The sequence below is a fragment of the Homo sapiens genome, chromosome 5, assembly GCF_000001405.40.
Source record: "Homo sapiens chromosome 5, GRCh38.p14 Primary Assembly".
Classification (NCBI taxonomy): Eukaryota; Metazoa; Chordata; class Mammalia; order Primates; family Hominidae; genus Homo; species Homo sapiens.
Genome location: NC_000005.10, coordinates 44873400 through 44887289, shown reverse-complemented (window position 1 = coordinate 44887289; position 13890 = coordinate 44873400). Strand labels below are relative to the sequence as shown.

The following is a 13890-nucleotide window of genomic DNA, read 5'->3' as shown; positions in this document are numbered from 1 at the left end:
CCATCCTTTGTTGAAAACAAGTTACTAAGTTTTAGAGAACTTTAAGTAAAAAATACAGTAACACTTTTGTGAGGCTTTGTATTTGGCCTAAATAAAAGGACGAAAGGAATTGTTTCTTTGCGTTATTTGACATTATTTAGTGTTGTGTGTGCATATTTATATATGTGTACCACCTAAAATTACCCTTTAAATCACTGATATCTGTCCCACACTTTTGGAAATGTTCTATCTAAGCATATTCTTAGCGCCAAGACAGCAGAAAAATCTCTAGAAAGTTTATCGAAGGCTAACAGACAGGTATTTTATATAACAAGGTGCCAATTAACAACAAACTAAAATAATAATAAATAAAGGCAAGAAAATAAAACCATCATGTAAGATCGCTGTAATAAAAATATTTTTGGCTGGGGGACAAAGACGATGTTTTCAGACTTGCTCTCTCCATCAACTGCTAATACCCTTGCTATGTGTCATGAAACACAGGGTTGTTTTATTGTTAGAATCAGGACCAGTACCCTGCCCTTCAAGACCCTGAGAGTTAGTGCCTCTTTAGCTTTTACACCCTAGGGACCTTTCATGCTTCACTTTAGTTCTGGCCTTGCTTAATTAATACCCATTAGCTCATGATAACTGAAGATTCTAGCTTAAAAAATATTTCACTGTCTTTCCTATTCGTTGATGAAGCTTCTTGGATGTGAAACATGGCAAGGCTAACAATACTGACTTCAGGTAATTGTTTTCAGTGGAAATGACTTAATGCATATAAGCTCTACATCCCTAGACAAATGTTAGGTATTATAATTTCATACCTATATAATTTTATAATTTTTACCCAAATTAATATCCTCAAACTTTGATTGAGGTCTTTCCATAGGAGTAACTAGAGAGCCAAAGATGACTACAACTCAGTCATTGCCCTTGGGAGCTTTATTTAGTTATTATAATAGAGTTCCCCTCACCCTACCACCTGACAATGGTAATACAAATTTATACTGACTGATCTCCATTCTCTTGCTTCATTTTGTGCTGTCATTTGTTAGGTGGATGAATATAATTAGAATTGCAGTCTATGATCAGTAAAGAAAGCAAAAGTTATAGTACCTCTTAAACCAGAGAGATCTGACTATAGCAGGATTCACACCCAAGTGCTTACAGAAGCAGTAAGTATTGAAATATTGTGATGATAATTTTTTTTAACCAGTGGACATGGTGAGGTTTCTGATGAGTCATCAACTGAAACCAAAAGGATTCTGCTCTCCTAGACTTTCTGTTGTTAAAAAGTCACGACTACTTAGTGAAAACCACATCCACAAAGATTGGCTTATATAAATGAAAAAACTATTGTATTCTGAAATGTTAAATCATTAGTATTTTATAACATTAATTTGATTTACTATAAACAGTACTTTTTCCTGAAGGGGTCAAATTGCCTAGAAGCAGTCATTAAGACTCTGATAAGTATAAAATCACTAAAAACTTTTAATCATCTACATAGCGATTTGTTGTAAATTTTTTACGTATTTTTCAATATTAAATTTAAAAATCTGTACTATTATCAACAAATTTGGATGACTAATGATTGAATGTAATAATAATATGCACTATAATGTATTCTGATCATGTTCTGCAAGATCTTGCTTTAAATATGTTTTGCTTCAAACAAACAAAAGGAGAATTTGAGATTCTCATCTAGTTTCCTGGCTTTAACATCAAGAAGTAACTCTAAGGCCTACATAATTCAAAATAACAGGTTATGGCAAGAAAAATTGTCATTATTATTGCCAGCTGGTGATTTTTCAGTAGTCCTTTTGACCTTCCCATTTCCAGTGAAATTTCTATGGAATGAGAAGCAGTTCTGTGTATTAGGCCGGCAAACATCATACTAGGTACTGGATATATAATTAATATATCCAGGAAACTCTTTTATATGTGGATCCTCTTCCACTCCAAGTTTCCCTGATCTATTGATGTTAAAGTCCCACAAACGCAAATTGCTGTTGAGCAGCTCTTCTCAATTTTTCCTAATTGCCCTATAAGGAGGCATTTTAGACATTTTAAAAATTGCTTTATCTATAAATTTTAATACCACAGGTATATTATCAGTCAATGTACCGTGTGTATTTCTGTGCATTATACATTAAAATAGTAAGTTTTTTTCACCTTCCAAAAACAAATTTGTTATTCCCTTGGGAGCAATATAACCCTCATAGTGAATGCATGCCAAAAAGTGACAAATAGCACATTCTCTGGCATTTAGTTATTCAATAAATGTTTGACGTCAAATATGTTTAGAATACAGTTTCTTAATACTGAGTCTACAGAAACCTCATAGAATTCTAGATGGGCCCACAAGAGTTCTGTGGAAAAATACAATTCATCAGAATTTTTCTAAGAAGGTCCACAGCTTTCACTATATTCTCAAATTGCTCCTTAAGAAAGAAATTAAGCAGTACTGGCTTTAGACCTATCCGAAAAGGGACATTTGTATGCTAGATATAATTTTGATTAATAATTGTTTATTTTCTACAAAACTAGAGATATTTTAAAGTCATCAATTGAATTAATGCATTCTGTATAATTTCCAATTTTGTTGAAATGACCAAATTTAATTTAAATCACCAAACTTTAGCTGAGTATTGATTTTGTGCAAATGGCTACAATGTGTGCAAAGAAAGTAGAATACTATAGGAGTTTGCTTAGAGCAAGAGCTTTTGTCAATGGTTTGCACTGCTGTCCAAAGTTCTAGCCTCATAGTTGCTAGTAGGATTACTAGTGATCTATAAATTTATACTGGTTGTATGTGCAAAACTGAGAGGTGACAACGTGCTAGCAGCCATCAGCTCGCTCTCGGCGCCTCCTCGGCCTCAGTGTCCACCCTGGCCATGCTCGAGGAGCCCTTCAGCCCACCACTGCGCTGTGGGGGACCCTCTCTGGGCTGGCGGAGGCCAGAGCTGGCTCCCTCTGAGCTCCCTCTGCTTGCGGGGGAGGTGTGGAGGGTAAGGCAGGGGCAGGAACCGCGGCTGTGCGTGGCGCTCCTGGGCCAGCACGAGTTCCGGGTGGGTGTGGGCTCCGTGGGCCCCGCACTCCGAGCGGCCAGCCGGGGCCTCCACCCCGGGCAGGCAGGGGCTTAGCACCTGCGCCAGCAGCTGCAGAGGGTGCGCAGGGTCCGCGGGCCACGCTGGAATTCTCTCTGGGCCTCAGCCGCCTCCCCATGGGGCAGGGCTCGGGACCTGCAGCCCGCCATGCCCGAACCCGCCCCCCCCACCCCCAGTGGGCTCCGCGCAGCCCTAGCCTCCCCAAGGAGCGCCACCCCTTGCTCCGCGGTGCTCAGTCCCATCGACTGCCCAAGGGCTGAGGAGTGCCAGCGCACTGGCGCTGGCACAAGACTGACGGGCCTCCCGGGTCCGTGGCGTTATCCATTAGGGGAAGCCAGCTGGGCTCCTGAGTGGGGTAGGGACTTGGAGAACTTTTATGTCTAGCTGGAGGATTGTTGTATATGCACCAGTCAGCACTCTGTGTCTAGCTCAGGGTTTGTGGATGCACCAATCAGCACTCTGTATCTAGCTAATCTGGTGGGGACTTGGAGAACTTTTATATCTAGCTAGAGGATTGTAAGTGCACCAATCAGCACTCTGTATCTAGCTCAGGGATTGTAAACGCACCAATCAGCACTCTGTCAAAACAGACCAATCAGCTCTCTGTAAAATGGACCAATCAGCAGGATGTGGGTGGGACCAGATAAGGGAATAAAAGCAGGCTGCCCAAGTGAGCAGCAGCAACCTGCTTGGGTAGCTGGGAGGCTTTGTTCTTTTGCTCTTTGCAGGAAATCTTGCTGCTGCTCACTGGGTCTGCGAGGGCCTTAAAGGGCTGTAACACTCACTGGGAAGGTCTGCAGCATTACTGCTGGAGCCAGCAAGACCACAAACCCACTGGAAGGAATGAACTCCTGACATGCCGCCTTTAAGAGCTGTTAACACTCACCGAGAAGGTCTGTAGCTTCACTCCTGATGTCAGCGAGACCACGAACCCACCAGAAGGAAGAAACTCTGGACACATCTGAACAAGTTAAGGAACAAACTCCGGACACACCATCTTTAAGAACTGTAACACTCACCGCGAGGGTCTGCGGCTTCGTTCTTGAAGTCAGCAAAACCAAGAACCCACCAATTCCGGACACAAAACTTTGGATCATGTCTGTGAATTTACATAGGCCTTTGAGATCTCTAAGTGGGATAGGTAGTAAGAAAGTCATATGACTCTGAAGTATCTTAGAAAGGTTGAAAGATTTAGGAATTTAGTATACAAGTTATAGGTTAAAGTTGAACAAGGGTGGAGATTAATTTGTTAGTGTGTATTTGCAAGGCAAATTTTTTATGAGATTCTCCTAACCTTCAAGACCTCTGAGGCTCAAAATGCTTAACATAGAAAGTTCAAGAGAATAAGATATTATAATAAATAATACTTTCAATTTAGATATATGAAAATGATGGAGTATTATGTAGCAATGAAAATGATCTGCAACTATAGACAACATAAATGGACCTTGGAAACAGTATTTACCAAACAAAACACCAGACACAGTATTCATGCTTTATAATTCCACTTACATAAATTCAAAAATAGGTATAAACTAATCTCTGGTGATAGAAATCAGGATAGTAGTTGTACTTGCTGGGGGCTGAGACTGAAGGGGACATGAGAAAAATTCCTGGGTTTTTGAAAATGGTCTATTTTTCTAGGCAATTTTTGCACTAGTATGAACACTTAGTGAAAATTCATCCAGCCTTACACTTACAAAGTATGTCCTTCATGTGTATATTATACTTCAAAAAATTTAAGAAAAAGAAAAGTATTTAGGCAGCTGAAGTTTCCAGATGTAGATACTATACAGTAAATTGGGGCTTTTCATATTATGTTATTTAAACGAAATAATTATTTTATATAATATAGATCTATGAGACATATATGCTCTATGTTGAAGGTACTGTGAGAGAGATACCAATTAGCACAAAAAACAAAAACAGAACAAAAAACAGAAATTCAAGTTTATTGGTATCTTCCTTAGGTACAAGAGATCTCAATGAACTGAGGAGTCATTATTCCTCAGTTATAAAATTTACCTCAGAATTCTCTGCTTAAACTATCTAGCAAGCCCTGGAATGACGTAGCAAAGCATACTAAGGTGGTAAAGAGCTTAGGCTCTGGACTAGACTTTGGTTGTGGCTTAATATCTCTTTCATTTCGTTTATTTGTAAAATGAGACAATATTAGCACTTATTTAACATGATTACCATGAATATCAATTCACGTAATGTATATACAGTATATAATCCAGTACCTGGAACATTCTAGAAACCTGGAAGAAGTCATTATGAGCTGTGTTGATATAGGTTATATTAAATTGATTTGAGTTCAAAACACTTTTTGCTCTTATTCCTCCTCAATTCTACATTCAAAGTGCCTATATTTACCTAATTTTGCCCTCATGGTATACCACATTTTAATTATGTTTTGTCCCCAACTCTTATTTAACTCTAAAAATGGGCTGCTTCCTGCTATTCCATGGAACTCCAGGCAAAGCTATCTATTGACTTTCTAGTGTCTCCTGGGTATCGCTTTAGTACTGTTACACCAGAGACATAGCTATCTCAGTAAATGGGCTCAACTCTCACGTGTGTTTTTCCAATAGTCATGCTTACCTAAGTGGTTACATGATTATCTTAACCACCTCAATTCTCTCTCTTCCTTCCCCCCTTGATACCTTCATCCTAGCTCGTGATTTGTTTCTTTTTCACTACGTTGCTTTTCTTTGCCAAAGTGTCCATTGAGAGTTTCCAGGTTAATGAGTGGTGAGCTGGTAAACGTTTAACAACTGGCTCTCCAGAGAGGGAAATGCCAGGATTTGTAGCATTTGCTTATTTTTGCAGTGTAAATACTCCCACCATGTCTTGTTTGAAGCTACCAACATGGCGTCACTGAGCACAGAGCTGGGAGAAGATGCACACAATTTGCCCTGAGGGCTGGTACAAGCACAATATAAAATGCAAAACTCATTTAGATCAGTCATCTATTTCCTCCTCCTCCTTCCGCCCTCTTCCTCCCACCTCACTCAATAGTTGGGTATTCTACTCTTAGAAGATCACCTTGAATTTGCTCAGATTATGTTAACACCTTTTCCCACACTGTAAAGAAGCTGTAAATGCCCACCGTTCGGCAAAGTACTTTTGTTAGCTCCTCAACACCCAGCTCTATACTTACAAGTTCTTATAAAAGATCGGTAAATTCACCAACAATTTAAAAGTTTTAGTATAAAACGAGCCCTCAGTAGAGATTAATGAAATAAATGGAAGAATGTAATCTAACCTTTAAAAAAAAGTTACATCTCTGACAACATATGGTTGGCAAAGTTGCCTCTGGCAATTTGACTGTTTCCACAGAGACAAATGGAAGAGGTTTGTTAGGAAAACTCTAGAGAACAAAGTTTCCTCCTTTTCCCCCCACTAGGACACAGGGCATTGTCAGAAAAGTCTCAAATATTTCTCTAATGTAAAAAACATTTCTTCTGTTGTTTGATATTTGAAGAGTTATTTTTGGAGTGAGACAAATTCCCTTTGTGAATTAGATATCAAAAAGTTAAAATCTAAATGAAATTTCTTTGCAGTTCTAACTGAATGACAGATTTATCTTAGCCACTATGGGAAAGGCAAATCTGTCTTTGCGTGTCTTCATTTTCTCTAATCTTCACAAGTACCAGCCTATAGTCTTTAGATCTGTTGCCAGTGTAACAGATTAGTCAGGACACTTCTATTTTTAAAAGAAGGTCCCACACCAGCCCACATTCACGAAGGTTGGGCCTCTTTGACATCATTTTCTGTAGGAATAAAACTACAGCTATTCTGAGTGGTGCTCCAAAGCATACCAGTTAGCCTGTCAGTATAGTGTATGTCATACACCATTTGAAAGCTTTTCTAATTTTAAAGTGGCTTTAAAACTTTTTTAAAAAAATGTCCTGCTTAGCTATTAAATGAAGTAATAGAATGGAGACTGGTCAGTGTATACTTATTACCACTGCTAAGGGAAAAAATATTCTCTTATTATAAATACATGCCAAGTCCCAAGGGCAGTGATTTAGCTGCAGTCATCTTTAGCTCTGTAATTACTTCTAGAGAAGGACATCAATTGAGGTTTGAGGAAGTTAAGTGGGTGAAAAATAATAATATCTGGGGATGCAGAGTTCACATGCATTAAGTCATTTTCTACTGAAAGCAATTACCTGAGGTCAGTATTGTTAGTCTCACCATTTTTTATATCCTAGAAGCTTCATCAATGGATATGAAAGACAGTGAAATATTTTTTAACCTAGGATCTCTATTTGTCATTAGCTAATGAGTATTAATTAAACAAGGCCAAAAACTAGGGTGAAGCAAGAAAGGTGCCCACAGTGTAAAAGTTAAAAAGGCACTTTACTCTGAGGGTGTAGTAGGGCAGATCCCTGGTCCTGGCCTTATAATTTTGACACATTAGGAAGATAATTTAAATAATATTGGCTATTTCCAACATCTATCAGTGCAGGCTATAGCCACATGTAAACTGTTCCTCAAATATTGCTATGAGCCCCAGGATATGTGTTATAAGTAGTTAGGAATAAACTCACTGGTTCAGGGACAGTATGGAAAATCCCTATGCTTTGCTTTTAAGTGGGGAAGAAGGTTTTCCCTCTTTCATTAACTGAGATTACAAGCATTATTGCTTGTGTTTCAAGTCTTATTGAGGTTTTAATGAAACCACGTTCATAGTTGTCCTTCACAGTTCTCCGGATATCCTCTGACCTTGGACATGAGTTCGATGCAGTCAGGACAGGAAACAAATACCAGTAGCAGATCCTGTGTTTATTAGGGTGATCCACCTTCTGATAATCCAGAAACAGCTTTCTTGTGGAATCCTAATTAGGAAAAAGGAGTCGGGCTGGTGGGACTGAGGGAAAGCAAAAAGAGAAAAAAGAACTATGTGTGCCTTTCTCATGATCTAGAAACACATACCCCTCCTGCACAAATAAATCACAGTCTTCCTGTGCCCAGCTATCACCAGAATCTGGGATGATGCAAAAAATGAAAGTTAGCTCACTGCAATCTTGGCATTATCAGTACTGCACAAAGCCCTCTTCAGCACACAGCACAAGCACTGTCCTATAAAATCCCAGCAAGCCTTTGTTTCCTTACAGTCAGCTCCTTTTTGCTGGCCTACCCATTGCTTCCTTGAAACATAATTTCATACCTAATCTAATAAACTTTTCTTCACCTACAACTGTCAGTAAATTCTTCTTTTCCCCACACCACCAGCCCCAGATAGTAGCCCCTTACCAGTGATATTTCTTAGTTATCTTTATTCTGGCAACCTCTTTCATGGAAAATTCTTTCTCTCTCCTTTATCTATCCATACATCCATACCTCCTCCCATTAACCGATTGAGTCAACAAACATCTATTGAGAAACTAGTCGGCGATGAAGATTCAGTGTTGGACAAGGACTTTACAGCCTACTTGGGATGTCAACAGGCTTCCACATTCCATTCCACTAATTGTCCAGACTGGTCTGAAACTTTGTATTCAGGTTGAGATCCCTACTTTAGTTACACAAAAGTTAAAAAAAATGGTTATTTAAAAAAATAATGATGATAGAAGTCCTTGCAAGCTTGGATTTTGTAGGATTATTTCTCTTAGTGCTATCTAATGAAATATGTTACCTTTATTATCTTTATTTCAAAGATTTCCAGTCAGTTGAAGATTGGGGAATAAGTTGACAAAAATTACTCCTTTAGGGTAATAAACTGTATGAAAAAATATTAATTTGGCAAATAATATATTTAGTTGATTAATTATGCTCTAGGTAAAAATGCTGCACAACCAGATATTTTCTTTCTTAGAATATATCTGGATAAATGTTTCAAAACAGACAAAACGAAGCAATTAAGCTCTAAAAAATGAAAAAGAAAAAGAGTGATATTTGTGGTGATCCTGAGGAAAAGTGAAATGATTGGGTTACGCTGACTCTTAGAAACAAACAAAAAATAATAATCAAAATAAAATCTATTAAAATTTAAGTAGTAAGTGGAACTAACATTTTCCGTTCTTTAATGTACCAAATACTCTAAAGACTACTGTACTTGAAATTAAATATAGTTCTCTAAGACTTAATTTTTGCTTCTTGAAATTGGTTCTAAATATTCATCTACCTGATGCTACTTGCAGGAATGTGAAACCCATAGGAAAAAAAGAAACTTCCCAAAAGCATCCCATTTTTTAAAATTATAAACAGATGAGGATTTTTTCCCCCTTACTTAATAGGCAAAGTTTATATGATTTAAACTTTCAATTTAAAAAATCTAATTTTGATCTTGTTTCTGAAAAAGAAGTATCCCTTTTGGTCAAGACTACATATCCCTCTCCATAAAATTATAATCTCTGTTTTCTCTGAAATGTGCTCTGTTATTTGCCTTTCATGCTTGCATCTTCAAACTTCTACTTTATTAGTTATTCACACATAATGGTATAATTTTTTCAGGCCATTAATTCAAAAGTTAAATATACACAATTTTTACAAGTTCTTAATTTTCATTTCAAGTACACTTTCTTTGTACCCAGAAAACTTGAGGGGGTCATCTGGTCACTGCCTGATAGCTTCTGCCTACTTGGTCATAATTCATAATTGAAACATAGAGTTCTTTCTGGTCCTAAGCCATGATTAATCTCTAAATTTGATCTACATAACTGTCCCCAGAGGTAGCCTCTTTTCATAACTTCTAGATTTCAGTGCCCAACAGTTCTCTCTTGCTGTCTTGCTCGTTCTGTCTTCATTTCCACAGCTGTCCTGGGAAACATGAGGAAATTTTTCAGTTCTTCCATACAACTCTGAAGGCCCAGGAAACCCAGTAGGTATGCCAAACCCACTTCTGTCTTGGACATTTGCATCAACCATCCGTCTTCTAGTGTCTAGTCCTCAAAGGCCTGGGGTACTCTCAGGGCTACAGACAGGAAACAGAACACAAATTCCATTGACCCCAAGATCACAAAATTATCAGAAGCATTCTACTGTCTGCCTTGTGTCCTCTCCTCAATGTGGGACTTAGCCAGCCTTTTCTCAGACACCCTTGTCCTTTCACTCTCTTCTCTGACTCAGATCACTTTCAGGGAGAAGAGGTCAAATGAAATTTTCACACCTGAAACCTCCATTTGGAGCTTTGGAACTTAAAAACTAAGAATGATAGATATTTATTTTTTGATCCTTACTCCCTTGAGGCAATGCATCTTTAAGGCCAAATGTCTGAATGAGATATGACCTGTAGGCAAAATAGGAATTATAAGCATAATGGCTGAGCGCGATGACTCACGCCTGTAATCCCAGCACTTTGAGAGGCCAAGGCGGGCAGATCACCTGAGGTCGGGAGTTGGAGAGCAGCCTGATCAACATGGAGAAACCCTGTCTCTACTAAAAATACAAAATTAGCCAGGCATGGTGGCGCATGCCTGTAATCCCAGCTACTCAGGAGGCTGAGGCAGGAGAATCGCTTGAATCCAGGAGGTGGCGGTTGCAGTGAGCTAAGATCGTGCCATTGCACTCCAGCCCGGGCAACAAGAGGGAAACTCTGTCTCAAAAAACAAACAAAAAAAAAAGAATTATGAGCATAACATATCAGTAAATAAAAATATTTTAATCCTGGCACACAATCTCTACATTCTTTCCCTCTCTGAAATTGACTTCATTAATGTTTCTCCACAGCTACTTCAATGTTTTGCAACCACCACTGCTTAATTAGCTGTAAACGTATTCTTCATCTTCAAACCTCTCAAATTGTGAAGATTGGATAAGAAAAATGATTAAATGAGAGGATTAGCTTCTGCTAAACCTCAAATAACACTAACTTTAAAAATTAGTAAGATCGTTTATTCCTTTCTCATGCCAAAGAAAAAAAATCCAGATGTAGCCAGTTTAGGGGTGGAATAGCGGCTTTGTCAGGATCAGGGACCCAGACTCCTTCAAGCTTCTCCAGTTGCTTCGATTATCTCAGGCCTGGAGGCCACTGTTCCAGGGCCAACTAGAAACAGGAAGAAGGAGAGAAAAGGAGAACAAGACATCTGCATTCATTATTTCTTATTGGAAGGAACTTAGTCACCTAGTCACACGAAACTTCCAGCCATGATCTTTTTGTCTCAAATTTCACAGGCATGAATCAGAAACCAATTCACAATGCCCCACGACTACAAGAAACATATATCAAGCTCTGCAAGCAGCCCTCATGAAACTTTCTCCCTAGATTTGAGAAAGAAGGGTCAATCATCCCCCCTCCCTTTCTCTGGGATGGAAGACAGGATTAAGAACACAGATTTTCCAAACCAGTCCTCTTCACCAAATCCTGTTGAATCACCAGCCACCTGACCGTTTTAGATCCTTGATGTAGATGATTCATCTAGCAGGTTCACAAACACCTTCTTTGAAATTTCAGCTTGTTGATCTGACTCATAGCACACTGTAATTCAGAGTTCAGTCAAAGCTTTCATTTTCACATCCTGTTATACTACTATAAAAGGAAAACTCTTGATTTTTGTATGCAGCCATCTTAGTAAGTTTTCTTTTTACTTTAAATAGGTTTTCAGTTGAATTTTCTGATTTTCTTCGGTATTCAATTATATCTGAAAACAAAACTTTTTCTTTACTATGTTTATCCCAAACAGTGTCTTATTCTATTATCTAGAACCACCAAAACAATATTAAATAAAACAGTGATCATTAGAACCTTTACTTTCTTAATTTTAATGGGAATGCTTTAATATTTTTTCCTCTTTTCTTGAAAGGAATAATGTTTTTGATATTCTCTTCTTCATCCCTCTATTTCAATTACCTCCTTAGAATCAGGAATAAGCTCTCATATCAGGGCTTTTGCCAGTATCTTTAATTATTATACAGTATTTTAACTTATGTAAGATGCATAGGCAGATTTTTCTAAAATATATGTAGGTCTCTCAAGAAAAGTATTTTTTAAATTCTTCCCACATTATACATAAAAATCAAGTTTATTCATTTTAACTGCTGGATAGCATTCTATCATATAGCACTTAGGTTGTTTCCAATTTTTGCTACTAAAAGCAATGCTTCCGTGGGAATCTTTGGACATATCCTCTTGTACAGACGTGCAGTGATTTTTCTAAGTGGTATATCTAGAAGCAGAATTATTAGGAAATACTTCTTGTGCACTTTCAAATGAATGTTCCTAGACTGTTCTTAAAAATGTGCTTACCAATTGATATTACCAACAACCACTCACTTTTAGTCCTCTTCCTTTTCACCATCTTCCTATAATATTCTTTTTTTTTAATTGTACTTTAAGCTTTGTGGTACATGTGCACATCTTCCTATAATATTCTTGTCTGCTACTCTGTTTCCAAAAGAGATGGGTTAACACACTCAACTATCATTATAAGTTTTTTAGTTTCTTCTTAGTGTTATGCCTACTTCACTTCATATATTGATCATTTTGGTTGCCATACAAGTTCACAGCTATTATATCATCTGGGGAAATACATTATTTTTAGCTTACTTAATGTCTTCATTTATAATATTCTTTTGTCTGAATTCTATATATTTCTGATAAAAGTATTATTTGCTTTTTTTGATTAGTATGTAAGTTATCATTCCTTAATTTTCCCCTTCTCTTTGTAAGGCATTATCATTTGCAAACAACACATAGCTATTTATTTTATTTTAAATCAAATCTGAAGTCTCTTTCTCTTAAGATTATTTATTATATTTATTTGATTACTAACATTTGGATATATGTCGACATCTTATTCTAGGTTTTAAAAATTTTACTATGCTTTTCTTAATATCCTATTTTTTTTTCTTTTGTTGCTTTCTGTTGTCTTAGTAGAAATGTTCACCCTGGTTTGGAAATTAAACAGTCTGTTTCTCTTGTTTTAGTGTTTTATTTTCTTTAAATTTTTAACCTACATTATTTCTAACTAAAAAATTCTAAGGTTAATTAATATCACTATCTTCCCCCAAAAGATTTGAGAATATGTAATAAATTACATTTCCTTCAGATCCACCCCTTTAGTTACTGTAATTATTATTCAGTGTTTAAGTTCCACTTTGTTTTTAAACACTCCAAAAGTAGTTATAAGTATTCTTAGTAATTTCAGTATTTAGAAGTTTGATCAACTGCTTTGCTCACCATTTCTTGTTTTCCATACTTTCCTTGTCAGCTTTCTTCTTGCTAAAGTACATCTTTTAGTAAGTCTTTCAATAAGAGTCTATGGCCAACGATTTATTTTTTTCATATTTATGAATATCTATGTCTCTAACTCATATTTTCAAATAATAGTTTAGCTAGGTTATATCATTGTATTCCCCAGAATTTGAAAATATCATCTTATTCTCTTTATGCGTCTATTGTTTCTAATGAGAAATCTGATATCGATTCAATTGGTCTCTTTGAAAATAATTTGTCATTTCTCTCCATTGTCTTCACATCTTTGTAAATCTTTGATATCTTATAGTTTCAGAACACTGTATCTAGTTAAAGATTTATTTTGTCTTTCTAGGGACTTGATATTTTTTTCTTGCTATCTGAGAATTTATGTTTCTCTTTAAATCTGAATCATTTTTCATTAATATTTATTAAAATAGTGTCTCTTCTCAACTGTCTTCTGCCTGAACTTCAGTTTGATGAGATGGGAAATATAATAGCATTCTTTTCTTTTCGGTGTATTTTGTCAAATATATCTTGTAGTTTATTAGTGTTTTCTTTAGCTGTGTATTGTTTAACTTGTGTGTGTAGGTATACAGGATTTTTAGAATTTTTGTCTTTTTTTGTGCACTTCTCTTTTCAGAGGATTCA

General features: G+C 36.9%; 1 annotated feature.

Annotated features, from left to right (window-relative positions):
- Positions 10633-11832: an enhancer, noted in NCBI's record as "P300/CBP strongly-dependent group 1 enhancer chr5:44875560-44876759 (GRCh37/hg19 assembly coordinates)". NCBI's record gives its function as "activates an origin of replication core promoter dependent on BRD2, BRD4, P300/CBP, MED14 and CDK7 cofactors, with strong dependence on P300/CBP, by STARR-seq in HCT116 cells {active_cell/tissue: HCT116}" and the evidence as "EXISTENCE:reporter gene assay evidence [ECO:0000049][PMID:35650434]".